The sequence below is a fragment of the Homo sapiens genome, chromosome 3, assembly GCF_000001405.40.
Source record: "Homo sapiens chromosome 3, GRCh38.p14 Primary Assembly".
Lineage (NCBI taxonomy): Eukaryota > Metazoa > Chordata > Mammalia > Primates > Hominidae > Homo > Homo sapiens.
The window spans coordinates 113949956-113977788 of record NC_000003.12 but is presented as its reverse complement, the minus strand read 5'-3'; the positions used below and the strand labels follow the sequence as shown (position 1 = coordinate 113977788).

Below are 27833 nucleotides of genomic sequence, written 5' to 3'. Positions count from 1 at the left end.
CATACAAATACAGCTTAACGAATGACTGTAAAGTGGACACCCTTTGTTACCACCACTGAGGTCAAAACGTTGAACATTGCTGTCGCACAGGCTCCTTCCCAAGTCTCTCTTAAACTACTCTCCTGACATTTACAATGAACATTTGCTTTTCTTTTTACTTTTCTCCTAAGTATGCAGCCTTCAATGCTATAGTTTTTCCTGGTTTGGAACTTTATATACATGGAATCATACTATATGCCATATTAATATTTAAAATACAGTTATGTTTTATTTAATCCAGTTGTCTTTGAGAAATAAGGTATTCTGTATAAGTAAGTTTTATATTTGTTTTCTAATTTTAAGCATTTGGACAGAATGTTCTTAATTTCATTATGCACTTCCCTTTAAGAGTGGTGATTTGGTGTCATTATGAGCATCAGTTAGTGTGCCGGGTGTATTCAGTGATGCCTCCAGCTTTTTTGAGGTATGAAGACTGTTGTGTGGGTGTATAAAAATGCCCCTTTTCTCAACATTACTCTGTTGCCCGGGCTGAAGTGCAGTGGCATGATACTGCAACCTCTGCCTCCTGGGTTCACGCAATTCTCATGCCTCAGCCCGCCAAGTAGCTAGGATTACAGGCACACACCACGACACCCGGCTAATTTTTGTCTTTTTAGTAGAAACAGGGTTTCACCATGTTGACTGGTGCTGTTTTCTTTTTATTTGCATGTTTGTGCATGGGTGTTTATTTCTGTTCCTTGTAATAGTGTTCCTATCTTATTGCCATGAGGGTGCCTACCTCCACCAAAACCTGTTTGTCCTTGTTTAATTCACAGATACTGGAAATCAGTGGAGTGGGAAAACAGATAAGCAAGTTGATTATAGTTTTGTTTAAATTAAAACAAATAAGCAATAAGTGAGGGCATTCAGAGGACCTCCCTTTGGATAAATGATTTAGCTTTAGAGTTTGAAGTTTAGGACTCAATATCTATGTGACCCTGAACAAATAACCTTTCAAAGCCTCCCTGTTCCTCTCTCATAAAATGAGGATAGCAACAGAACCTATCTATCTATCTTATGGATTGCTGTGAAGACTAAACAGGGTACTATAGTAACTCACTCAATGCACTGCTTGGCCCAAAATAATAACTAACCTTTTTTTTTTTTTTAGTTTAGTGTCATTGTGAATATATTATTATTAAACATCCTTTTTGCCTGCCTATGTTTTCTTTCTGTTTCTCAGCCACTATATACAGGCTGAGAGATTCATTTGGGGCTTTTGCACAAACCATCTCATCTGATAGCAGTAATAACTTGGATGTGGGGAGATGTCATTATTTCCATTTTTCAGGCAAAGAAATAAGCAACAGGCAGGTAGGTGAATTGTCAAGGTATAAAGATAACAAAAGGTTGCTCCCTGAACTCCAGATTAGGTTTTTTGACCCTAAAACATTCTCTTCTTGCTACATCAGTCTTCCTCCCCATTTTTCTAATTCTCCCTCTGTCTTTTTTGTTTGTTTTTGTGTTTTGTTTTGTTTTTTTTTTTACCCTGAGACAAAGTCTTACTCTGTCACCCAGGCTGGAGTGCAGTAGTAGGATCTCAGCTCACTGCAACCTCCGCCTCCTGGGTTCAAGCGATTCTCATGCCTCAGCCTCCCAAGTAGCTGGGATTAACGGCATGTACTGCCATGCCCAGCTAATTTTTGTATTTTTAGTAGAGACAGCGTTTTTTACCATGCTGCCCAGGCTGATCTCAAACTCTAGCCTCAAGGAATCTGCCCACCTCGGCCTCCCAAAGTGCTAGGATTACAGGTGTGAGCCATCTTGCCTGGCCTCATTTTTAGACTATAAAATAGTAAGATAGTCATCCTATTTAGGATTTGAAGTTGTGAAATCAATGTAGGAATCCATGCAATCAACAAGAACCAAATTCTCAGCCAATGTCTACTTGATATAAAAGCATTGCTGTGATTTCATCTCTTCCCACTTTGCTTTTTGTTTACCATGTTCTGGCCCCACTGGCCTCCTATAATGTTTCTTAGACAAACAAAGCTCACTTCTGCTTCAGAGCTTTCACATAACCTGATCTCATCATTTAGCTCTCTGCTTAAATGTCACCTCCCTAACCACCCTACTTGCATCACTGTCTATCCATTAAACTGCCCTACTTCCTTCACAGCACTTAAGACTCTCTGAAAGTATATAATTTACTGTTTACATGTTAAACAGAGTGGAAGCACCACATCTTGCTCATTACTGTGTTCTCAGTATATGACAGCGCTCAGTACATAGGTAACACAGTAAATATTTGGTAAATGTATGAATAGATGAACTTTATTGCAGGAATGACACTAATATTTAAGGTCACCAGTCTTTAAAAGGGGCTTTAACATTAAAAAATTGATATTCAGAGTTCATATTCAATTTTATATGAATGAAATAATACCATATAGAAGAGCTGTGGATGAAAGGAAGGAGAGACATCTATTGGTCTTAAGCCTGACCTTTAAGCTGCAATAACATCGAGAAAGATGATTCTCAATAAGAACATAACTTGTAATCTTACATATCTGTATCACTTCCGGATAATTTTATAAATCTAGCTGAGCTGGATCAGTATTTATAATATGTCTGATATTGTCTTGCTACCATAGTTCTTAACCACAGTATGAACATGAAGTAGGTAGTAATGAAAGTCACAGACCTACACCCCAGAAAATGCATACATGCATATAACATACAACTTTACACAACATGTCAAGGAGTTTATGGGACCCAGCTTAAGAACCCTTACCTTGGTGACTTAAATCATACTTATTATACAATACACCCACATGTAATTATCAAGACATATTTACCAAGCATAAAAAAATACCTAATAACATGGCCCCTGGTGCTCATAATTTAGTAGAAAACATAAAAGATTAGAGAGAAAGAGAGAGATTGAGAGAGCAAGAGAAAGGTTTACTAGAGCCAAGATGAACCAGGGATTAAAGCACCATCTAGTGCCAAAAAGGAGGCAGCCACATAGCAGGAGAACAAAAAAGAAATTAAACAGGTAAATTACAAACAATCTCTAATCAAACATACCCACTGAAAACCAAACAAGCCAGACACAGAAGACTGAAATAAATAAATAATCCTTCAGTGCAAAGGCATAGACATATATCCACAAGAAACAACAGCGAGTTGGCCGGGCGTGGTGGCTCATACCTTAATCCCAGCACTTTGGGAGGCCAAGGTGGGCAGATCACCTGAGGTGAGGAATTCGACACCAGCCTGGCCAACATGGTGAAACCCCCTCTCTACTAAAAATACAAAAATTAGCCAGGCATGGTGGTGTGCATCTGTAGTCCCACCTACTCGGAAGCCTGAGGCAGGAGAATGGCTTGAACCTGGGAGGTGGAGGTTGCAGTGAGCTGAGATCATGCCACTGCACTCCAGCCTAGGTGCTTGAGCAAGACTCCATCTCCAAAAAAAAAAAACAAAAAACAGCAAATGGGGAACCATGACCTTCCCAAATAGATAAATCAAGGAACCAGTGACTAACCCTAATGAGAAGGCAATATGTAAACTCTAACCAACATTCAAAATAGCAGTTTTAAGGAAACCCAGTGATCTTCAAGATAACAAAGAAAAGCAATTCAGAAATTTTTCAGATAAATTTAACAAAGATTTAAAAAGTCAAACAAATCTTGGAACTGAGAAATATATTTGCTGAACTGAAAAATCATTAGATGTTTTCAACAGCCAAATGGATCAAGCAGTGGAAAGAATTAGTGAGCCCAAAGACAAGCCACTTGAAAATATGCTATCAGAAGAGAAAAGAAAAAAGAAAAGGAATGAAGACAGCCTACAAGATATAGAAAATTACCTCAGAAGATCATATCTAAAAATTACTGGTGTTGAAGGGGGACTTGAATGAGAACAAGGGGTAGAAAGCTTATCCAAAGAAATAAAAATAGGAAACTTTCCAAAACTTGACAAAGACATATCCACGTATAGGAAAGTCAGAGAAACCAAACAGATTTGACCTAAACTCTCAAACGTCAAGGACAAAGAGGATCCTAAAAGCAATAGGAGAAAAGAGGCAAATAACATATAATGAAGCTCCAATTCATCTGGCAACAGACTTCTCAGCAGAAACGGTATAGGCCAGGAGACAGCAGGATGAGATTTTCAAAGTGCTGAAAGAAAAAAGAAAAAAAAAAAACCTGCCATCCAAGAATACTGTATCCAGCAAAGCCATCTTTCAAATATGAAGGATAGAGAAAGTTTTTCTCAGAAAAACAAATGCTGAGAGAATTCACCACCACCAGACCCATCTTACAAGAAATGTTAAAGGGAGTTCTTCAATCTGAAAGAAAAAAACACTAACACAAAAAGAAAACAGTTGACAGTAGAAAACCTACTGATAAAATTAAGTACATGAACAAACCCAGAATACTCTAATACTGTAATTGTGGTGTGCAATCAACTCATAACTCTAGTATGAAGCCAGAAAGACACATCTAGCAAAAACAGTAATAGCTACAGCAGCCTGCTAAGAGGTAATATAAAACATGGAAACTAAAACAAGAAAAAGTCAAAATGTTGGGGGATTTCTAAAAAGAAAAGGCAAGAAATTAAAACATACTACCTGAGAAAATCGTTTTGCCACAAGGGAAAACAGTAAGAAAGGAAGACAGGAGTTACAAAACAACCAGCAAACAAGGAAAGAAAAAATTGCCATAGTAAGTCCTTACTTATCAATAACTGAATATAAATGGACTCAGTTCTCCAATTAAAAGACATAGAGTGGCTGATGGATAAAGAAACAAGATCCAACTGTATGCTGCCTATAAGACACCTACTTCACCTGTAAAGACATACATAGACTGAAAGAGATAGAAAAAGACATTCCAAGCAAGTAGAAACCAAAAACACAGCAGGAATAGCTATACTTATATCAGATAAAACTGACTACAAGTCAAAGACTATAAAGAGAAATAAAGAAAGGTCATTATATAATGATAAAGAGGTCAATTCAGCAAGAGGATATAACAATTATAAATATCTATGCACTCAACATCAAGCACCCAAGTATATAAAGCAAACAATAAAGGGAGAGATAACTGCAATACAATCATAGGGGACTTCAACACGCCACTCTCAGTAGTGGACAAATTATCCAGAAGAAAATCAGCAAGGAAACATCAAACTTAAACCAGAAACCAGGCCAAATAGGTCTGACATTTAAAGAATATTTTATCCAGCTGTTGAAGAATACACATTCTTTTTATCAGCACATGGAACATCCTCCATAATAAGACCATATCTTAGGCCACAAAACAACTCTCAACAAATTCAAAAAACAGAAATTGTATCAAGTATCTATTCTGACCACAATAGAATAAAATTAGGAATCAGTAAGAGGAACTTCAGAAGCTACACAGATAGAAGGAAATTAAACAACATGCTCCTGAACAACCAATGGGTCAATGAAGAAATTAAGAAAAAATTTAAAAATTTCTTGAAACCAATGAAAATGGAAATATCATAGATCAAAATCTATAGGTTATAGTAAAAGCAGTAACTTCTTTTAAGAGAGAAGTTTATAGCAATAAACACATCAAAAAAGTTGACAGACTTCAAAAAATAAGTCAACTATGCTCCTCAAGGAAATATAGAAAAGCAAGAACAAACCAAACCCCAAATTATTAGAAGAAAGGAAATAATATAAATCTAAGCAGAAATAAATGAATTGAGACTTTTTCTGACTCAAAATCAGAAATGAAAAAGGAGACATAACAACTGAGACATCAAAAATACAAAGAATCACTAGAGACTATTATGAACACCTATATATCAATAAACTGGAAAACATAGAAGAAATGGATAAATTTCTAGACAGATAAAACCTACCAAGATTGAATGATGAAGAAACAGAAAACCTCAACAAACCACTAATAAGTAATGAGATTGAAGCTGTAATTAAAAAGTCTCACCTAAAAGAAAAGCCCAGGTCCTAATGGCTTCAAACTGCTAAATTGTACCAAACTTTTAAAGAAGAACTAATACAAATTCTACTCAATTTCTTCAAAAAAAAACTGAAGAGGAGGGAATACTTCCATACTTATTCTATCAGGCCAGCATTAGCCTGATACCAAAACCAAACAAGGACATGATAAGAAAAAAGAAAACTACATATCCCTGATGAACACAAATGCAAAATCTTCAACCAAATACCGGCAAACCAAATTCAATAACACGTTGAAAAGAACATTCACCATGATCAAGTGGGATTTATCCCAGGGATCCAAGGATGGTTCAACTTATGCAAATCAATAAACATGATACATCACATTAACAGAACCAAGAACAAAAGCCATATAATTATTTCAAGAGATGTCCAAAAAGGCATTCAATAAAATTCAACATCTGTATGAACAGACACTTCTCAAAAGAAGACATTTATGCAGCCAAAAGACACAAGAAAAAATGCTCATCATCACTGGCCATCAGAGAAATGCAAATCAAAACCACAATGAGATACCATCTCACACCAGTTAGAATGGCGATCATTAAAAAGTCAGGAAACAACAGGTGCTGGAGAGGATGTGGAGAAATAGGAACACTTTTACACTGTTGGTGGGACTGTAAACTAGTTCAATCATTGTGGAAATCAGTGTGGTGATTCCTCAGGGATCTAGAACTAGAAATACCATTTGACCCACCCATCCCGTTACTGGGTATATACCCAAAGGATTATAAATCATGCTGCTATAAAGACACATGCACACATGTTTATTGCGGCACTATTCACAATAGCAAAGACTTGGAACCAACCCAAATGTCCAACAATGATAGACTGGATTAAGAAAATGTGGCACATATACACCATGGAATACTAAGCAGCCATAAAAAATGATGAGTTCATGTCCTTTGTAGGGACATGGATGAAGCTGGAAACCGTCATTCTCAGCAAACTATCGCAAGGACAAAAACCCAAACACCGCATGTTCTCACTCATAGGTGGGAATTGGACAATGAGAACACATGGACACAGGAAGGGGAACATCACACACCGGGGTCTGCTGTGGGGTGGGGGGACGGGGAGGGATAGCATTAGGAGATATACCTAATGTTAAATGATGAGTTAATGGGTGCAGCACACCAACATGACACATGTATACATATGTAACAAACCTGCATGTTGTGCACATGTACCCTAAAACTTAAAGTATAATAAAAAAGAAAAATCAACATCCTGGCCAGGACCAAAATGCCCACTTTCAGCACTTTTATTCAATATAATACTGCAAGTCCTTGCCAGAGCAGTTAGACAAGAGAAAAAAATAAGGGCATCCAGGCCAGATGTGATGGCTCATGGCTGTAATCCCAGGGCTTTGGGAGGCCACTATGGAAGGATCACTTGAGGCCAAGGGTTCAAGACCAGCCTGGGTGACAGAGAAACCCTGTCTTTAAAAAAAATGTATCCAAATTGAAAAGGAAGAAGCTAAATTAGCCTTGTTTACGGATGACATGCTCTTATACTTAGAAAAACCTAAAGACTCCACCAAAAAAAACTGTTAGATCTGACAAACAAATTCAGTAAAGTTGCAGCATACAAAATCAACATTCAAAAATCAGCAGCATTTATTAATATATACACCAACAGTGAACAATCTGAAAAAGAAGAAAACAATCCCACCTTAACTAGCTACAAAGAAAATAAAATACCTGGGAACCACTTTAACCAAGGAAGTGAAAGATCTATATACTGAGAACTATAAAACACTGAGGAAAGAAATTGAAGAGGACACAAACATATAGAAAGATATGCCATGCTCCTGCACTGGAAGACTTCTTATAGTTAAAATGGCAATACTACCCAAAGCAATTTACAGATTCAATGCAATCTCTATCAAAATACCAACAACATTCTTCACGGAAATAGAAAAAAAATTCCTAATATTTATATGAAACCACAGAAGACCCTGAATAGCCAAAGCAACACTAAGCAAAAAGAACAAAGCTCTAGGTATCACACTACCTGACTTCAAAATTTACTACAAAGCTATAGTAACCAAAACAGCTTGGTACTGGCATAAAAACAGGCATATAGACCAATGAAATAGAATAGAGAACCCAGATTTAAATCCACACATTTACAACCAACTCATCTTTGACAAAAGTGCCAAGAACATAAAATGGGGAAAGGACACTCTTTTAATAAATGGTGCTGGAAAAACAGGAGAACTATATGCAGAAGAATGAAATGAGACCCCTTTCTCTCACCATACACAAAAATCAAATCCAAATGGGTTACAGATTTAAATCTAAGTCCAGAAACTATGAGACTACTAGAAGAAAACATTGAGACAATGCTCCAGGCCACTGGTCTGGCCAAAGATTTTTTGTGTAAGACCTCAAAAGCACAGACAACCAAAGCAAAAATAGACAACTGGGATTACATCAAGCTAAAAAGTTTCTGCACAGCAAAGGAAACAATCAAGTGAAGAGATAACCCACAGAAAGAGAGAGAGAGTATTTGCAAACTGTCTGTATAGTTTGGATGTTTGTCCCCTGCACCTCATGTTGAAATCTGATCCTCAATGTTGGACGGAAGTGGAGTCTAATGGGAGGTATTTGGGTCATGGAGATGGATTGCTTAATGAATGGCTTAATGCCATCCTCTGTAAATGAGTGCATTCTCACTCTATTAGTTACGGAAGAGCTGGTTGTTAAAAAGAACCTGGCACCTCCCTCCCCCTTTTTCTTTGCTTTCCTCTCTTGCCATTGGATCTCTGCACATGATAGCTCCCCTTCCATCATGACTGGAAGCAGCCTGAAGTCCTCATTAGAAACAGATGCTAGTGCCATACTTCTTGTACAGCTGGCAAAACTGCAAGTCCAATAAACCTCTTTTTTTAAATAAATTACCCAGCCTCAGGTGTTCCTTTATAGCAACACAAGTGGACTAAAATGCCATCTGACAAGGGATTAATAACTAGAATATGTAAGGAACTCAAACAATAGCAAAAAAAAATCCAATTTAAAAATGGGCAAGTCCATTATAGTGGCTCACATCTATAATCCCAACACTTTGGGAGGCTAAGGTGGGTGGATAGTTTGAGTCAAGGAGTTCAAGACCAGCCTGGGCAACATGGCAAAACCCCATCTCTACCAAAAAAAAAAAAACAAAAAACTATTAGCCAGGAGTCATGACATGTGCCTGTAGTCCCAGCTACTGGGGAGGCTGAGGTGTAAAGGATCTCTTGAGTCCAGGAGGTGAAGGTAGAAGTGAACCAACATCACACTGCTACAGTCCAGCCTGGGCGACAGAGTGACGCCCTAAAAAAAAAAGGGGGGGGAAGATCTAAATAGACATTTCTCAAAAGATATACAAGTGGCCAAAAAGTGTATGATAAAATGCTCAGCATCACTAATTATCAGAGAAATCCAAATCAAAACCACAATGCGATATCATCTTATGCCAGTAAAATGGCTTTTATCAAAGACAGTGAATAACAGATGCTGGTGAGGATATGGAGAAAGGGAAACCCTCACACAGTGTTGGTGGGAGTGTAAATTAGTACAGCCATTATAGAGAACAGAATGGAGATTCCTGAAAAAACTAAAATTAGAACTACCATATGATCCAGCAATTCCACTAATAGGTATATCTCCAAAAGAAAGGAAATCAATACATCCAAGAGATATTTGCATGTCCGTGATTATTACAGCACTGTTCACAATAGCCAAAATATGGAATCAACCTGAGCACCCATCAGTGGATAAATGCATAAAGAAAATATGGTATATACACAAAATGGAATATTAGTAATGAAAAAGAATGAAATCCTGTCATTTGCAGCAACATGGATAGAACTGGAGGTCACTGTGTTAAGTGAAATAAGTCAAGCACAGAAAGACAAATACATGTTCTTACTCATGTGGGAGAGCTAAAAAATGTGAATCTCATGAAGATAGAGAATACATTGGTGGTTACCAGAGGCTGGAAAGGGTAGAGGTTGGGAGGTGGATGAAGAGAGGTTGATTAATGGGTACAATATACAGTTAGATAGAAGCAATAAGGCCTAATGTTCAATAGATCAGTAGGATGACTATAGTTAATAATAACCTATTGTGCATTTCAAAATAACCAGAAGAGAATAACTTGAATGTCCCCATGGTAAATAAAAGATAAATATTTAAGGTGATGGATATCCCAAATACCCTGATTTGATCTTTACACATTACATGAATGTATAAAATTACATGTACCCCCAAAATATGTATATTATGTATCAATAAAAATATTATAAAAAGATAGCTATAGATAGGCTATAAATAAGTGCCAAACCAGTGATCATGAATATGTTTTAGGAGTTCAGGGAAAGAAAGAGAAATGTAGGGAAAGAAAGAGAAATGTAGGGAAAGAAAGAGAAATGTAGGCAAGGATGATCTAGGAAGATTTCACCCAAAGGGGAGAACATTTTTCAGTTAGGGTAGAACAGCAGGAGCTAAAATGCAGACGTCAGAGAACAGGAGTGTAGCCAAAAGAGAGATGTGAATGGCTGAGAATGGGAGACAGGGTCAAGGACTGGGAGTGTGCCCACAGCCGAGCACAGGAAGCTGTAAATGGTGGACTGAATGGATAAAAGCAAGCAATGAAGTAAATCCATTCCTTGGAGCCTTTTTCTTTTTTTCTTTTTTTCTTTTTTTGAGACAAGAGTCTCACTCTGTTACCCAGGCTGGAATGCCATGGCTTGATCTCGGCTCACTGCAACCTCCACCTCCCAGGTTCAAGTGATTCTCGTGCCTCAGCCTCCCAAGTAGCTGGGATTACAGGTGCCTGCCACCATGCCGGGCTAATTTTTGTATTTTTAGTAGAGATGGGGTTTCACCATGTTGGCCAGGCTAGTCTTGAACTCCTGACCTCAAATGAGTCACCCGCCTCAACCTCCCAAAGTGCTGGGATTACAGGTGTGACCCACCGCACCCAGCCATGCCTTTTTTTAAAGCAGTACCTCCACCAACAAAAATCAGCATTATCAAAAATATTAACCAACAGCCATAAAATTAATGAGGACTGATGTGCATTCTGGGACTCCCTCAGATGGTCAAGAGGCCAGAACAAATCCCATCTCTGCCTATAGTTGTGAAAATATAAGCTTAACTACTCTGCACTTCGTTTCAACACTGTAACTCCACACACACACCACGGCATGCTATTCTCGCTTCGTTGCCTTTACTCAAGATGTGCTCTCCTCTAGGAAAGCCTTTTCTTTGCCTGACAAAAATTCAGTTCAGACATCATCTTCAAAAAGGTCTGCTCCTCACCACCAGACTGGGTAGTCCTCTGTGCTGCTCTCCACTGCTGTACCTTCCCACTGTATGGAAACTCTGGTCACCTGTTTCAGCCTCTCCCGGGGCAGACGGTACCTGGCTTACCTTGATGCCCCTAGTGTTCAGCTGTGGTGGACACTAATAAATCCTAAAAGGCCATTGCATGCTTCCCTGTGACAGCACAGACACTCACTTAAACAGTCTTCCATACCATGTTTCCAGAACCTGATGTTAGGGTATTTTTTCTCAACTGATATTCAAGACTGGTTCTTTGTTGTTATTGCTGCTGTTGGAGGTCAGGTTACCAGCAGGCTTTTAAAATATGTCTACGCACTGAGGCCTCAATGCCTGTAACTTTGGCACATTCTGCACGCAATTTTCCATCATTTTTGCGTTGAGGGTTGTGGTTTCTGGATCCCTTGCCAGCATCACTGGTCCTGGCATGGGTACAATATGTATGCTATAATCAGATCAACTCAGGAGTGTGCCTCGTAGCTTGGGTTACTGGAAGCCATTTGGTGCTCTGCTCAAATGTCACCTCCTCAGTTTCCTTCACCACTCAATCAAAAATAAAAATAACTGGCCAGGCACAGTGGCCCACACCTGTAATCCCAGCACTTTGGGAGGCCAAGGCAGGCAGATCACTTGAGGCCAGGAGTTCAAGACCAGCCTGGCCAACATGGTGAAACCCCGTCTCCAATAAAAATACAAAAAAAAAATTAGCCAGGCATGGTGGCAGGCACCTGTAATCCCAGCTGCTTGGGAGGCTGAGGCACAAGAATCATTTGAACCCAGGAGGCAGAGGTTGCAGTGAGCCGAGATTGCACCACTGCACTCTAGCCTGGGCGACAGAGCAAGACTCTTGCCTCAAAGAAAATAAATAAAATAAAATAAAAATAAAAATAACCTATCAATCAATCAGTCACTCTCATTCCCTTTTGTTGCCTTATTTTTTTCACAGCATTTCACACTGTCATAATCCCGATTGTGATTTCCACACCTTTTATACAGCATTTTATTAACATAAGAATTATTTTTATAAAGTTCTTAATGTGCTATAGATGGAAAGCCAACTTTTTCTCAACATTTCACTTTTTTCCTTCTTTATTCTTAAAGGAGGATCCTCTGGATCACCCTTCGGACATGGAAGAAGTTTGTAAAATTTATGAAAGAGGAAAGAGTAAAAGAAGAAAGGCGACAGCAACTTCGTAGGAAGGTAGTTGAAATTCTTCCAGACTTCCAGGTACCTGGAAGGTACCACGAGCTATATCAGCAATCAGATACTTGGTCCTTGAGTAAGACAAGTCTGGTGAACGAATGAGCCAGATTAGTGTAATATTTAGGACAGGAAGCTCGACTAGTCTGTATGTGTGTTATCTCCACCCACCCACACACATACATACATACACCTGGTTTATTCTCTACGAGCTACTTCTTAGATCAAAGGAATTATTTTGAGAATTTTTATTCCCTTCTTTGACTTTTCCTGGATTGCTAGTCATTCACTATAGCATTTATCACAGTGGGATCATCCAAAGGAACATTCTAGAGATCGTCTGTTCAAATATATCCTATATATTTTTAGCATAGTAAACTTTAAAAAGGACAAGTGTTTGCCTGACTGAGCCTGTGAAGAAAATGTGTCCGTATAGCACGACAGGAGTTGCTGATGTGACCTTAATGAAACAGAAATAAACAGGGGTGAGTGCTCGGAAAGGAAGGGCGGGCCAAGGCACTCAGCCTTCTAGTGCAGTAGCATCAGTGACACGCACCCCACCAGACCTCGTCCACTTTCACCACCCCTGAAGGCAGACCATGTATGAAAAGGTTCTCTACACAGCTGCTGCAGAGGACAGCAGCTTATCCTGATTTCAGAGAAACTGAGGCACCAGAGATGCTTCTCTTCCGTGCACCTTGATAAGCATGAAGGACATTCCAAAAGGTAATAGCTCTATCATGACAGTCCAGCAATTCATTAAATTATCTGTTCATGCTCCCACCTGCAACTGCTGAATAATACACTCAGTTTGTCTTCTAGTACTCAGCTCAGTTTGATCTAGATATTGAGATACCTATCTTGAATTCAAAGAATGTTTTCATCTTTAAGATGCTATAAAGACTGATAAAATGCTCTCTTCTATGAATTGTGTTAGAGAATTACCTGCTAGAAAAATAATTTTTCATTATAAAATACACATTTATTATATAACAAATTCAAGTAGTCCATAAATGCATATGGTAAAATGAGAAAGTCCTGTGCAGTCCTGAGATGATTACTCTTATTTGGTGTGCTGAAAATTTGAGTTGACAAAATAAAATTCTGTGGTTTTTTAAGTGAATGTTCTTGTTACTGTCTCATACTTCCTAGAAAGGATATCTAGCTGTACCACCTGCTACACGACTTAAGATACTTTTATCACGGAGGATGTGTGATATGACCAAACACCTTGAATTGAACTTTATTTCTTCTACGACATGGCTGTTCCCACACAGCTTTTCCTTTAATAGGATTATACAGTTGTCATTTAAAAAAAAAAAAAACCTGTGTTTTTCAAGATGAATGGCCACTAAAGAAAATGTAACTAAAAGTAATTCATAATACATCACTTTCCATCAAAATCACTAACAGTTTAAACCTAACTACAGTACATTTACAAAATACTGGCTGATATTAGCACCCGGAAATGAAATACCAATTTTATTATTTTGTTTGTTCTGTGTTTTTTTTGTTTTGAGACAGGGTCTCACTCTGTCACTGTACTTCAGGCTGGAGGTAGAGTGGCCTGACTATGGCTCACTGAATCCTGGACCTCTCAGACTCAGGTGATCCTCCCACCTCAGCCTCTCAGATAGCTGGGATTACATGCCCAGCTAACTTTTTTTTTTTTTTTTTTTTTTTTTGGTAGAGATGGAGTTTCACCATGTTGCCCAGGCTAGTCTTGAACTCCTGGGCTCAAGTGATCCTCTCAGCCTCCCAAAGTGCTGAGATTACAGGAGTGAGCCACCACACCCAGCCACCAGTTTTCTTTAAATGCCAAGCCTGTACATAAGGTTGAGTTCCTTAAGTCAACATGCCAGGCGCATAAATAAATCCCACAAAGCTTAAGTTTTCTACCTTAGCTTTATTTTTGCCTCACCTCAAACATCAACTAGAAATTGAGTCTTTAGCAGCCCATATTCCAATGGCGCCAGCTAGACTTTTTACCGAATACAGAGCCTTCTAAAGAGATACAATGGAAATAGTTTTGATGCTGTTTTTTGCTGGACTATCATGAAAGTATGTTTCAAAATGTTACTGTTAACATAATGCCCCAACAAGCAGTATCCCTGACCCACAAAACTGGAGAAATTGCCACCGGGAACATAACAGTTTAGGGCTAGGGACAGGGCCACAGGATAGAGACATTGAGGGAGCCACAGAGGCAGCACAGGTATAATGCAGGGTTTTCAGAAATCAGAAGACTTCAGGAGACACTCCAAGAAACACCAGCTATTTTCCTTAAAGAAAGCACTTTATTTTCCATTTAAACAACTTGGTCACAGGACGTTATTTTACATAAATGGAAGTAATTTGTAAAATTTCCATGTAAAAGGCCTTGTGTCTGAGTCTGAGGTGATAAGAGGATATGAATACAAGTATATAAAAACAGTGCAAAATGTGCAGCCCACAGCCTCCGGAGTTGGCTTCAGAAATCCCCCTTAATGTTGCTAGACCAGTTACATTAAATATTAAATGTAACACCAGGTAAATATTCCTGGGTTTCCTTTAGTCTAACATCCAACCCAGATATGCAATAAAATGAAAAACTCAAAATCCCTAACAACTCAAACCATCCAATCACCCAGACCATTAGGATCACAATGAGTTGAGACTGCAGGCTCTATACTGTGACATCTCGTCAGTGGCTCCATCTTAAGAAATACAGAATTTTAGTTGCATCAGTAACTAGAATAGACTAGCTCTGCTTTTAAAGCTTTGCCTTTTAAATGTAGATTTCTAGAAGTTCACTTTCAAGGTGCCATCAAGAAGGCTAGGCCACTAAGAAGTCACAAGCCCAACCTAGACATCGCAGCCTCTTAAGACATTTGTCTTCACTAACCGTTCAGTCTTTAACCTGCTGCTGATCCTACAATGAAAACACTTAGTGCCAGCTGAAGCGTGGATGCTTGTCTATCAGCAACATAATTAAGTGTAGCTGATTCTGCAAGAAATTTATATTAGTCACAGCAGACATCCACAGGAACATACTGAATCGTACTCAGTAGTGAGTTTAGGATGGCTTTCCTGCTCCCCTGCATCACCCTTGCAGTGTTTAATACAAAAGGGTGCACATGTCAAGCTGCCGCTGAGAAAACCAGATTCCAAACAGGTGCCTCAGGAAAAGTCTCTTATTATCCATTGCTTGCTTAAGCAACCTCTACTTTTCAAAATGGAAGGTACCAGAATATGGCTACAATTAAGTTAGGTCATATAAACTTACCTAGGTTAAAAAGACCCTTAAGTCTCACAAAACTGTAATTTTTAAACATCCTGGCTAAAACTGTGCTTCTAGATGTTATATTTTTGCTTATACTAGTTGAGCTTTATAATCAAAAGCTAATGTCCTACTCAAAGGAAATACATGTCTATTAAGCAGATGGTCAGTGGTATGTAGAACCTTACTGGCACTGTGTTTTCTGGCAGTGGAAGATTCTAGTACAGAAAATTGTCTCTTGCTAAAAATATTAGAAGTACCAAGGACTATTGCATAAGAGAAAGTTTGTAGCAATTTTTTGCTAGGCAGATGGTACACTTGAAGACAACAATGACTTCATTCACCAAGGAAAACACTACTTAGCAAAGATTTACAATATCCTAAACACAAACACATATGTGGCTGAGGTGGAATAAGCAGCACGTTGTCCCAAAAACACACTTAAGGCTTTACTTTAGCAGCATCAGGGTAACCTATCAAAGAGGCGCTGTTAATGGTCAGTTCATTTCAGGAACGCTCGGCTGGAACCATAAAAGTGCTCCGTGGGTATTGTAAGAAACATTTTAAATATTGAAGGATTTTCTTCTTTCATGCAATCCTGATCCTTAATCTTTCTCCCTTGAATCTTTCAAATCGGTCTGTTCTTCTCCCCCCAGGAACAGTCCACAGTGGTGTGATAATAATCTAAGTGGCCAGATGATAGTAGGTAATTTATTAAACTCCACATCCAGTATGTTCATTAACAGAGACTAAGGACGTGAGATGAGAGAAGAGGACCTGCTTGTTTGAAATCATGTTCGAGGGGCTTGCTCCTCTGCCCAAGAGACTGCTGATTTATAGGTTCACCGGGCAATCCTCCACTGCCGCCACCACCAAATGCTTCCCTGGGACTGATTCATTCACAGAGGCCTTGTCCTTTCAAAGATTCCACAATAAACTCATCTGGCCCCTGGAGAGAACCAAGGCCTATAATGAAACCCCTCAAATAGTTCCAGATCATAAAAGGCTCCAAAATCCTATAAACCAAAGATGTCACAGAGCCTACAGAACACTGCTCATGGATTAGCCCCTTGTTTGCTGCTCCTTTCGGTACAGACGCCTGGGAAGGCTTTTCCCACACAAGATCACTCATCTTTTGACAGGTTTAAGCATTCTGTCAACTGTCCATCATGGGTTCTCAAGGAACTTAAAACAAGTATCTTCGTGCCAATAAACCTGAATAATACACAGAGTCCCTTCCTATCCATGGGAAGGAAGCGGAGTTGGCTCATCCAAGTAACCCTATTAGAGGTAAGTTGTTAAAAAAAATTGTCATCATTCCTAATTCTCCCAAATTATTTTGGTCTCTTTGTACTACTTATCTTCATCACATCACATTACATTTAGATGTTGTGAACAATTTGGCAAGAAGCTAAAATTACTGACTAATGTTTCTATCAATTTGTATGATCAATGGCTAGATAATCAGAGTTGGCTCTACAGCTGACATTCAAAAGCACGACTACCAATTTCTGCCCACACAGGCTATCCTTGACATTATTACTGTCTCTCTTATGTAAAACCTGTATAGAAAGAAATTTGTTATATCAAATCCAACTTTAATTCTAGATGAATATTCAGCTCTGGGCCAGGGAGAAGGCATCACTGTACAAACCCCAGAGTCTGCTAACATCCCCAGGCACAGAGCCTATCATTCGTTAAACAAACCATCTCTGGGGAAAATGACAACAGCCTGAATAAGAATATGGTGACCATCTTAAGGACAGCTCCAATTAATGGCAACAGTAGGGACGGTGCTGGCTGCAGAGGGTGGAAGTGCAGGAAGTAGCAATATTTCCTCTCAACAAATATAAATCTCTTGCTTAAAGCAGCATGCACAGAATGACTGAAAACGCTGGCAATATTTTCCCTATATTAAGCTATAAGCCAAGGCAAATTTAAGGAGTCATGAATTATCTTTGGGATTGCACAACAGTACATGTTCAAAACTAACATTTCAAAAGGGTATTTTCCTCATCTGAAATTCCCTCATCTTAATTCTATAGTAGAACAACCCATTGTACATAAATATTTAATCTTTTATACATTTTCGGTTTTAAGATATGATTAAAGAAACAACTTGTTATTGTCGGAAGAGCCAGGGAAGAACAGTAATCCATTAATAGTGGAAACCACATATACCCTGTTTCTTCTCTCTTAGTGAGATACTGTTATTTAGGGAGGGGTAATTGAGAATTAATGTGCAAGTTAAGTGGGAAGATGTCACTCAACTCCTCAAAGTTCATACCAGAATAATGTGAATGCCAGAAGGCTGATTTTCACAATTTAGTGCTATAACTGACAGCATTTGAAATACATGAAGAAAATAATCGAGCCCGTGATGTTACTCAGCCTTCCTACCAGAAAAGAGAGTAAAGCATCCCCACAGGAGTGTCTGTTCTCCTCTTCCAGCCACAGTCACAAGTGTGCTAGCACCTTACCTGGTGAAACATGGGAAGAGGAAAAACACATGAATGCCTGTTGGAGTTATTTATAAGAAACCCAAGCAGAATTTATAAAATATAAATAGAAGAACTCATCACCTAAACTCATGGCCACACTACATTACACTAGCAATAATTATCTTTATAACTGTTGTCAACTGTCTTTTCAAGATGAGACAACTTAGCATCAATCCATCTGGTCATCTTCTCTGTTTGAGTAGTTCATGTCTAATAAGAAGGAGAAATTCTCATAACTGTACAACAAGGTATATGCTGAAAACTGATTACCCTAATAATATTGGCTTCAATATTCTAGACTATAAACGTTTTTCTTCCATCATAATATTTTCCTAATACTTTGTATTTCCATGGCTCTTGAGTTGTTTTTTAGTGCTTTCCACATCCATCTTCCCTCACGTGACCCTCATGACGGCTCTGTGAGGTAGCCAGGGCAGGCATCAGTACCCCACTTTGCAGATGACCCTGAGACTTGGGAAAGTGACTCAGCTAGGGGTCACATGGCTATTAAGAATCGAAAGAGGGACTAGAAACTATCCTAATCCAACACTCTTTCCTCCATACTAATGGATGGGAATTGCTTCTATCAATTTGTGCATTAGCAATCCACATCCTTCTCAAGTTCAGGCAACTGAGTCAATTAAAAAGGTGACTGGAAAGGAATGGCTCTACTTTTACTGCCTCAGTATAAAAGTCTCTTAAGTTGTGGCGTCAGAAAAATTAACTTCTTCCCACTCCAGTCTCTAAACCTGAGCATGGCCCTATAATGCCTTTAAGAAACTGGGGATAGAAATGGACACTGAAGTGTAAAATGGAAGGGAGACGGAAGGAGGAGCCATCATCCCTCAGAGAGCCACATAGAAGGCACTTCAGACAATGTCCTCGGCAGGGTGGTGGAATGCACGTGTGCCCAGGGTGGAGAACTGGTGCCAGTTCCGCAGGAAGCCCCTATTGTACTGGCCTGTGTCCACGATGAGCCCGCAGAGGAGCCGGCGCCCAGTCTTCTGTCGGAGGGCCTGCTGGACTTCCCGCTCAGTCACATTGTAGCTGATGTTGATCAGCTGGATCAGGAAGATGTAGGCCATGCCTGCTGTGATGATCACAGAGTACCACACGCAGGTGAAGGACAGAGCCGAGCTAGGAGAGGGAAAAAGGCTGTCAGGGCTGCCGTTTTTGTCAAATTCAGAAAACTGTCATCATTCTCACGTTTTACACATTTTTTTACTTATTACTAAAGACTTTGGCATCTTCCCCAACCCTCCGAACTGGAAGATACTCAGAATGCCAATAACCTGCTTAAGTAGGAGAATGTGTGTGTTTATTCTATAATTACTGGTGCCTATTTTCTAGTATATTACACTAGAATAGCAGGGACTGTTTTTTGCATTTTGTACCCTCCACACACCCAGCACGCTGCCTGACATAACAGCGTTCAACACCTGTTTGTTAAATAAACAAGTAATTCGTAAATTACATCTAACTCATGAGAAAACAAAGGCACCAAGGGACTGCTATAAATGTCTTCTAGGAAGCTGCAGGTGGATGCCGAGGAACAGTGCTAAAGTTACTAATCTCCATTCTTTCCAGTCCAATGCTGAGGAATGAAAAGACGATGGACGACTCCCAACCCCAGCAGCCCTGTGCTTACCTGGATGTAGGAACACCGAGACATTCCAAATTCACCCTCCTAAAGCCCAACACAATCACACAAGGTAGGGAAGCTCCTCTCAGGCTCACTAATGAGACAGGCTGCCAGTTAGCCTCTGCCATTTGATGATTTTCCAACATTCGCAAATTAAGAGTTAGTTAGAAATAAGTTCATTCAGAATCTTCATTTGTAAAAGCTGAAGGGACCTCAAAGACTATTAAATCCAAGGACCTAACCAAAAAGATGAGGTGCTGTGAATCGCCTGCACAGAGCAGGGTGAGAAGCAATGGCAGGACTGTATTCCTCGGTTCCCTCGCCTCCGCACCGAGAGTGCACAGACATGCTGTGCTTCAGGACGGGCCTCACCTGCAGCGTTAGCAGAGAATTTCATTCACATGCTGGAGATACTCTCCACACAGTGAGGAAGGAAACTTAATCTGAGGAAGACCAATCTATTCTAATAATGCCCACAGGTGTCTGGTTCTAGGATGACAATGGGGAGATCTGTCCACAGGCTAATAAAAACAAATGCCACAAAGGGATACTTTGTAAAGAAAGCAAGGATTGTTCTGAAAATGAAGAGTGAGAATAAAGAAAAGGGCCAAACCACAGATACCCCAGAGCACTTATGTCAGAGAGGATGATGAAGGGAAGGGAATAAAGAGCATGGGCAGAGGGGGGCCCCAGCATTCAGGGAGGGGGCGCTGAGGCCGAAGCGGAAGAATCCCAAATTTTGCCATGGCCTGGAAATCTTCACAATCTATAAAGGGGCCTAAGGAAATTTTGACCTACATATCACAGTAATCATCAGTGGTGATTAAAAAAAGAAAGAAAGTAGAACAGGAAAAACCAAGAGAGGTTAGAAAGAAAAGCAAGGTTATAGAGATGTCGAGCACATCTCAAAAGGGTCGGAAGCAGTAAATTAAGATTGGACTAAAAAACATCAGAAAGCAGCAGTAAAGTGAGAAGGTTTCTGATCGTTATGACAAAATAGGCACATATGTGCCCTGGGGCTGCTAGTTTTTGTTTATTGTTTCTGTTTCACTGTTGCGACTTTTGAGCCTATGAGTGGTCATTTGACTCTGGAAGTCCCTGATTAGGCCTGGTCCTGTTTGTAGAGAACTAGTTCTTCACTTTTTAAAGGTCAACAATCCTTTTAACAGCACCCTTGAAAAACACACATCACCAATGCACAATTTTGCTGGCAATTCCAGGGATACCCAGCATTTCCATAGCCTGGCCTATGTTTTGATTGAGAACTCCTAACCAAGTAGTAATAGTCCCTGTCAATGGCAACACCCATTACTTCCCAGGGGGCCTCCATACTGTGGTACCCACTGCTCACCTGTAATTTGCATAAACTCCAGGACAATAGAAAAGAGCTGTGAAGACACTTCTGTCTCTACAAATGGTGTCCAAGGTCAGTGTGATCCCATACACCGAGGTGAGCAAGAAGATCAAAAGGGCAAGTATAAATGCTTGATGATTTGATTCTCCAACGCAGCTATTTATCCTCAAAACAGCATAGAGAAATAAAAAAGCAAACACATTTTTAAGAGTTCTTGATATAACTTACATAATAAACATGAAAGCTTTATTTTTTTTGAGACGGAGTCTTGCTCTGTAGTTCAGGCTAAAGTGCAATGGCGCGATCTTGGCTCACTGCAACCTCTGCCTCCCGGGTCCCGGTTAAGCAATTCTCCTGCCTCAGCCTCTCAAGTAGCTGGGATTACAGGCACATGCCACCATGCCCAGCTAATTTGTGTATTTTGAGTAGAGATGGGGTTTCACCATGTTGGCCAGGCTGGTCTTGAACTCCTGACCTCATGATCCACCCACCTCAGCCTCCCAAAGTGTTGGGATTACAGGCATGAGCCACTGCGCCCAGCCAAGACAAGGTTTTAAATAGGGAAAATGTAAATTCCAGTTATTAAGAAGTTCTCTTATTTTTCAATTTTAGGGAATTAAAAACTTGCACCCTGAGGAATGCAGTCTTATATTCTCTACTCTTCGCAAAGTGGAATCATATCGTCAGTTTAAGGACAAGACTAAGTATAAAAAGCAGAACCTGGCTAACAAATCTTCCTAAATATCAATATTACCCAGCTATGGAGATCTAACATTGTCCTCACCATGTTAAGGAAAGGGAGATAAATAGAATTATGAAAACTTAAAAATGCTAAATCAGAAGTATTACATAGTATGGGAAAATTCATGTTAAATATATGAAGAGTAATATAAAGATCCAAAGAGGTTAGAAACATAGCGTAGGGGGAAGAACAACTTGATAACATGCAGGCTCTTTGGCAGGTAAAAACAGTTCTGTGTCATGGCCATTTGTGGGGCAGAATGTAGAGGGAGTGCCTTCTACCCACTGCATGCCAGGATGCTCCAGTGGGCACATATCTGCTGTTAGGTGAGCCTTCTGCAAACCAGCATTTGTAAATGGAACACACACGCACACACACACACACACACACACACACACACACGAATAAGTGAAGACACAGAAGTAGAACATCTAAAAATGAAAACACCTGTTTACTTCTAAAGACAAGGACCCAGAAAAGAGCTGCCCTGCACTTGAGCCATGCACTTGAGGCCCACGCCAATGCCTCTCAGCCTTTTCTGCACCCTCACCCTCTCCTGCATCCCCTTCTGAGGAGGAGGTACGCTACAGGACCAGAATCCTAGACACGAAAAGCATTAATTCATTGATCACGACTGCCTGAAGAGCAATAAACTGCAAACATGCTACTTACAGCATTCATATCTGAATTAATTATAGTCCCTTTAGTTTAGATGTATTTAGTGAAGCTGCAACATTATCTTTAAACATTGCACTTCATATTTTACGGAGCCTTATGTACCTTCGTTTGTTACTGGCCAACTGGCAGGTACAAAAGCCCATTTCTCTGCAAATAATCAAATAGAGAGTTTATCTGGTGGGACCTCGATTCAATAATGTTAAGTGGAAATCATCGGTAGCATCAAAAACGATTAAGTATGTATGGCAAGGGGACAAAAGAGTCACCTAAAAATAGGGGTACACTTTCTTGAGCTTTATGTTTAAAAAGGAATAGCACAGGGAAATATGCTTATACTGTTTCTGATCAATTCTTTTTTTAAAAAATCATTCAACTGTAGATATTTCTCTATTAGAAAGGAAAAGATAAATGAGGAGTCATTCAAAAGAAAATTGAGAAAAAAAAAACCCCACAAGTTTTCTGTTATTCTCCTTCAGGAAATGACTGAAGGAACTAAATTTGTGAAACTCGAAAAACTGATGACTAAGTGGGAACATCACAACAACCCACAAATATCTACAAGGTGTAAAGCTGGGAAGGAGAGAAATTTTGGGATAGCACAAGGGAAGATAAAATGTAACTAGAGTTTTACATGAATTTACACTTTCCAAGTCTCCAAATGTTTCCAACATACCAGACACAATGATGATCCATTCTCCTCACACAGATGCCACATATCCGGCAGTGCCATGCCCGGGCTGGTCGCACCAGCTGGCACTTGGCACACCAGTCCTCCTTCGCTTTGGTGGGGCTTCCAGCTGGCATCTTGGAAGAGCCCTTGGGGTCATCCTTTGTTGTGCGATTGTTGAGACTGCCCGACATGTCTGCCCCAGGGAACCCTTTGGTCTTCTCCTGCCCTTTTCTGCTCAGGCACTCCAGCTGGCTGCTGCTTAGAGATCTGTCACCGCTTGCTGGATTGCTGAGGTAGCCTGGATTCTTCTTGGCTCTGTGCAAGGCTAAGAGTATCAGAAATAACCCGCAGGTAAGAACCGCCAGCTGAACGGGACCCACACGCCCTTTGGGGACCACTTCCTGCAGGAACACATAGTACATGTAGCCCAGAGAGAACAGTCCAAGGCTCAGGAAAAACAGGGTCTGTTCTTTCCTTCTGTGAGTGAGGTAGTAGTACCACAGTGCCAGCACAGGAAGGGAGGTCAAAACCACCACCCCCAGGAGGAAATGCCAGGAAGCCACATGAAGGAAGACAGGCAGCAGGACAAGCGGAGGGATGATGCTGATGTTCACTTTTTTGGCTCCCCTAAGCCAAGGAATTCGGAGGCGATCAGAAATTGTATCCATGATTCTTTCACAAGTCTCTGGCTGTAAAGATTTACATGTAATCCATCTATTCAGAAAAAGCACAAAGAGGAGGGACTTCATGTGGGTTTGTTGAATTAAAAGCTACAGAACACTGAATGCCAAACAGTGGGATAAACGATAAAAGCTACCAAAGACCAAGCATTTTACTTCCTTACTACTAAATTAAGCTTTTCAGATTCACATGTCATTTTTTAAAATAGGAACAAGATGTTTAAAAACTTAAAGTCAAGATTATTTCTCCCCTAAACAAATACATAGGTACAGACACATGCTGCAAGTAATGTTTACATCTTATGACCTGTACGGTCATAAGAATCTCAAAACAAATCACAATCTAGTTATGAGGACAACATGGGAATTTAAGAACTATTAGGTAAGTGACAAAGCAGCAATAATCAATAAACTCTTGTGATCAAACATTATAAGGAGTGCTCAGACTAGCATCAATACTTCTGGGTGGAGTCTTCAGAGGGGTCTTTGTGGAAAAGGTGGGATCTGTGCTCAACCTTGATGTCCAGCTAGCATGTGTATGAATAGAGAGGGAGTAAGGAAGGCCTTCCAGTGGAAAGAAATGTGTGCAGCACATACCTGGCATGAGCCCAGGGAGTAGACTAGTCCCACAGGGACAGGGCTACATAGAGAAGAATGGAGATCAAACTAGTATGAGTCAAATCACTGAACTTGGTGAATGGAATGATATTGGTTGACTGTTTTGCACACTTAGGCTATGCTATGTTCTAAATGTTTATGCCCCCAAAATTCATATGCTGAAACCCAATCCCCAATGCAAGAGTATTAAGAGACGGGGCCTCTAGGAGGGTATTAGGTCATGAGAGCAGAGCCCTGATGAGTGGAATTAATGCCTCTAAAAAAGAGATCCAAGGGAGCCTGTTTGCTCCTTCCACCATGTGAGGACACAGCAAGAAGGTGCTGTCTATGAAGCTGAGGAGACCTCACCAGACACTGAATCTGCTGCTGCCTTGATCTTGGACTTCACAGCCTCCAGAACTGTGAGCAATAAATATCTGTTGTTTATAAATTACCCAGCCTAAGTTATTTTGTTACAGCAGCCTGAACAGACTAGGACAGAAATTGGTACTAAGAAGTAGGATGTTGCTACAACAGATATCTAAAAATGTGGATGCAGCTGTGGAACCGGGTAACGGGTAGAGGTTAGAAGAGTGTGGAAGTGCATGCTGGGAAAAATCCTAGACTATCTGAACAAACTGTCAAGGGTGATTCTGGCAGAAGAGGAGAGCTGCAGAGAAAGCCTCAATCTTCGAGAATCCCTAAGAGGTAATGAACAGAAGGCTCGCAGAAATATGGACAGTAAAAGCCATTCTCATAAGATCTCAGATGGAAGTGACAAACATGTTATTGGAAATTAGAAGAAAGGTGATCCTGGACACTTATAAAAAGAACTCAGTGGAATTGTGTTTGTGTCCTACTGTTTGGTAGAAAGTAGAACTCAAGAGTGATTAAACTGAATATTTGGCAGTAGAAATCTCTAAGCAAAGTGTTCAGGGTGCTGCATGGCTTCTCATAAATGCTTAGGGTAAAATGCAGGAGAGAAATTTTTTTTTTTTTGAGACAGAGTTTTGCTCTTGTTGCCCAGGCTGGAGTGCAATGGCGCGATCTCAGCTCACCGCAACCTCCACCTCCTGAGTTCAAGCGATTCTCCTACTTCAGCCTCCTGAGTAGCTGGGATTACAGGCATGCGCCACCACGCCTGGCTAATTTTGTATTTTTAGTAGAGACGGGGTTTCTCCATGTCGTTCAGGCTGGTCTTGAACTCCTGACCTCAGGTGATCTGCCCACCTGGGCTTCCCAAAGTGCTGGGATTACAGGTGTGAGTCACCGCGCCCAGCCAAAGAGAAATAATTTAAAGACAAAACTCATAATCAAAAGGGGAGTAAAACAAAGATTTGGAAAATTCTCAGCCTGTCTATATTGTAACAAATGAGAAAGCATGTTTGGGAGAGAACAGCAAGGATGTAGATGAGATCAGTATGGATTAGCCCCGTGCCAGTCATCAAGACAATGGAAGGACCCTGAAGGCATTCGGAGATCCTTGGGGCTGCTGCTCCCACCACAAACCTGAAGTGCCAGGGCTTTGAGGGCAGACAGTTTCATAAGAGGGCCCAGGGCACCCATGGGGCTTCAGGGTGTACTGCTGAGTGCCATCTGAAGTCTCTGCTCCCTACATTCTGGTGCACCCTCCATGGCAGCTCCAGGTGTGGCTCCACTGGGCCTAGGTATGCCATAGAGGCCACCCCTCTGAAGGGCATAGGTGGTAAATCTTGGTGGCATCCACAGGGTGCCAATGCTGCAGGCATCCAGAGTGTAGGAGCTGTAGAGGCCTGGCTGCCTCCACCTAGACTTCAAAGGATGCCCTGGAGAGCCTCGGGACCGAGGCAGAGGACTGCCACAGGGGTGGGGCCACCACAGAGAGCCCCCACTAGGGCACTGCCCAGTGGAGCTGTCATTGTGGTGGGGCCACTACAGAGAGACCCCACTGAGGCAATGCCTGCTTGGAGCTGTGGGGACAGGGTCACCCCCAAGAGCCCCGTAGAGCCACAAGCATACAACTCCAGCCTGGGAGAGCTGGAGGCACCTGTAGGAACTCCAACCCATGAGAGCTGCAGTGTGGGCTGTGCGCAACAAAGCTGTGGTGGCGGGGACACCCAGAGCCTTGGGGGCCCAACCGCCAACCCAGTGTGTCCAGAAGGCAGGACATCAAGTCCAAGATTATTCTCAAGCCTTATTAAGGCTTAACATTGTTTGCCCCACTGGGTTAGGACCTGTCAGTAACACTCCTTTCTTCCTGTTGTTCCCTTTTGGAATGGGAATGTCTATTCTATGCATGTCCTACCATCGTATTGTGGAAGCACCTAACTTGTTTGATTTCACAGGCTCACATGTGGAGGAGAACTTGTCTCAGGATGAATCGTATCTTGAAACTCATCCATATCTGATTTGGATGATGATATTCAGACCAGACTCTGGACTTAGACTTCTGAATTGACACTGGGATGAGCTAAGACTTTTGGGGCTATTAGGATGAAATCAGTGTATTTTGCATGTGAGAAGGACATAAATTTTAGGGAGCCAGGAAGTATCTGTGTCCCTCCAAAGTTCATTATGTTGAAACCTCATTCCCAATGCAATAGTATTCAGAGGTGAGACCTTAAGGAGGTGATTAGGTCATGAAGGCACAGCCCTCATGAATGAGACTTGTGCCCTTATAATAGAGCCCTATGAGCTTATTCACCCCTTCTGCCATGTCATGACACACCAAGAAGGTGTCATCTATGAGGAAAAGGGCCCTCACCAGACACTGAATCTGCCAGTGCCTTGATCTTGGATTTCTGAGCCTCTAGAACTGTGAGCAATAGATGTATATTGTTTACAAATTACCCAGTCTCAGGTATTTATTTTATCATAGCAGCCTGAACAAATTAAGACAGGCTAGTAAGAAAAGGTAGAGTTTAAGGAAAGGTAACTTTGATTTTAGACAATTTTTAAAGGTAAGACTAGAACTTAGAGATAACTAATTGGGAATCATACAGAGCAGCAGGCACGGTGGAAACACAGAGGAGAGGGGTACAGAGAGAGCAGAGGAGATGCCTCAGGGGACAGCCAAGGTCTCCAGGGCTAGGAGGGAGGAAGAGTTAGCAAGGTTAATGGAAGAGCTGCGGTCTTGAGTGATGGTGGTTATGGAAACAGCATCATTTCTCCATTCATTAGTGCAAAGTGCTCTATTTTCTCA

At 40.7% G+C, this 27833-nt stretch overlaps 2 protein-coding genes across 45 annotated transcripts in view; one reads left to right on the top strand and one right to left on the bottom strand.

The window, feature by feature from the left end:
* CCDC191 (coiled-coil domain containing 191) overlaps positions 1 to 13652 on the top strand; it is a 92477-nt gene extending 78825 nt beyond the window's left edge. For all 12 annotated transcript variants that reach the window (NR_148531.3, XM_011513052.3, NM_001353767.2 and 9 more), the window contains 1 exon segment: positions 12430 to 13652. Coding sequence is in view for 11 of the 12 variants with exons in the window: in XM_011513052.3 (XP_011511354.1) it covers positions 12430 to 12634 (205 nt within the window). In the remaining variant the exon portion in view is untranslated.
* Positions 1 to 27833, bottom strand: part of ZDHHC23 (zDHHC palmitoyltransferase 23) — a 31608-nt gene that overhangs the window by 1720 nt on the left and 2055 nt on the right. For 4 of the 33 annotated variants that reach the window (XM_047447887.1, XM_011512619.2, XM_047447888.1 and 1 more), the window contains exons 3-6: positions 23379 to 24089; positions 21283 to 21450; positions 19251 to 19426; positions 14416 to 18268 (exon numbers count right to left, since the gene is read on the bottom strand). In XM_047447887.1, coding sequence (XP_047303843.1) covers positions 18246 to 18268; positions 19251 to 19426; positions 21283 to 21450; positions 23379 to 24089 — 1078 coding nt within the window. In that variant the 3' untranslated portion in view covers positions 14416 to 18245. Of the gene's footprint in view, positions 1 to 14415; positions 19427 to 21282; positions 21451 to 23378; positions 24090 to 27833 lie in introns of those variants that run through there. The other 29 variants (XM_047447891.1, XM_005247269.2, XM_047447892.1 and 26 more) reach the window with 16 other exon arrangements.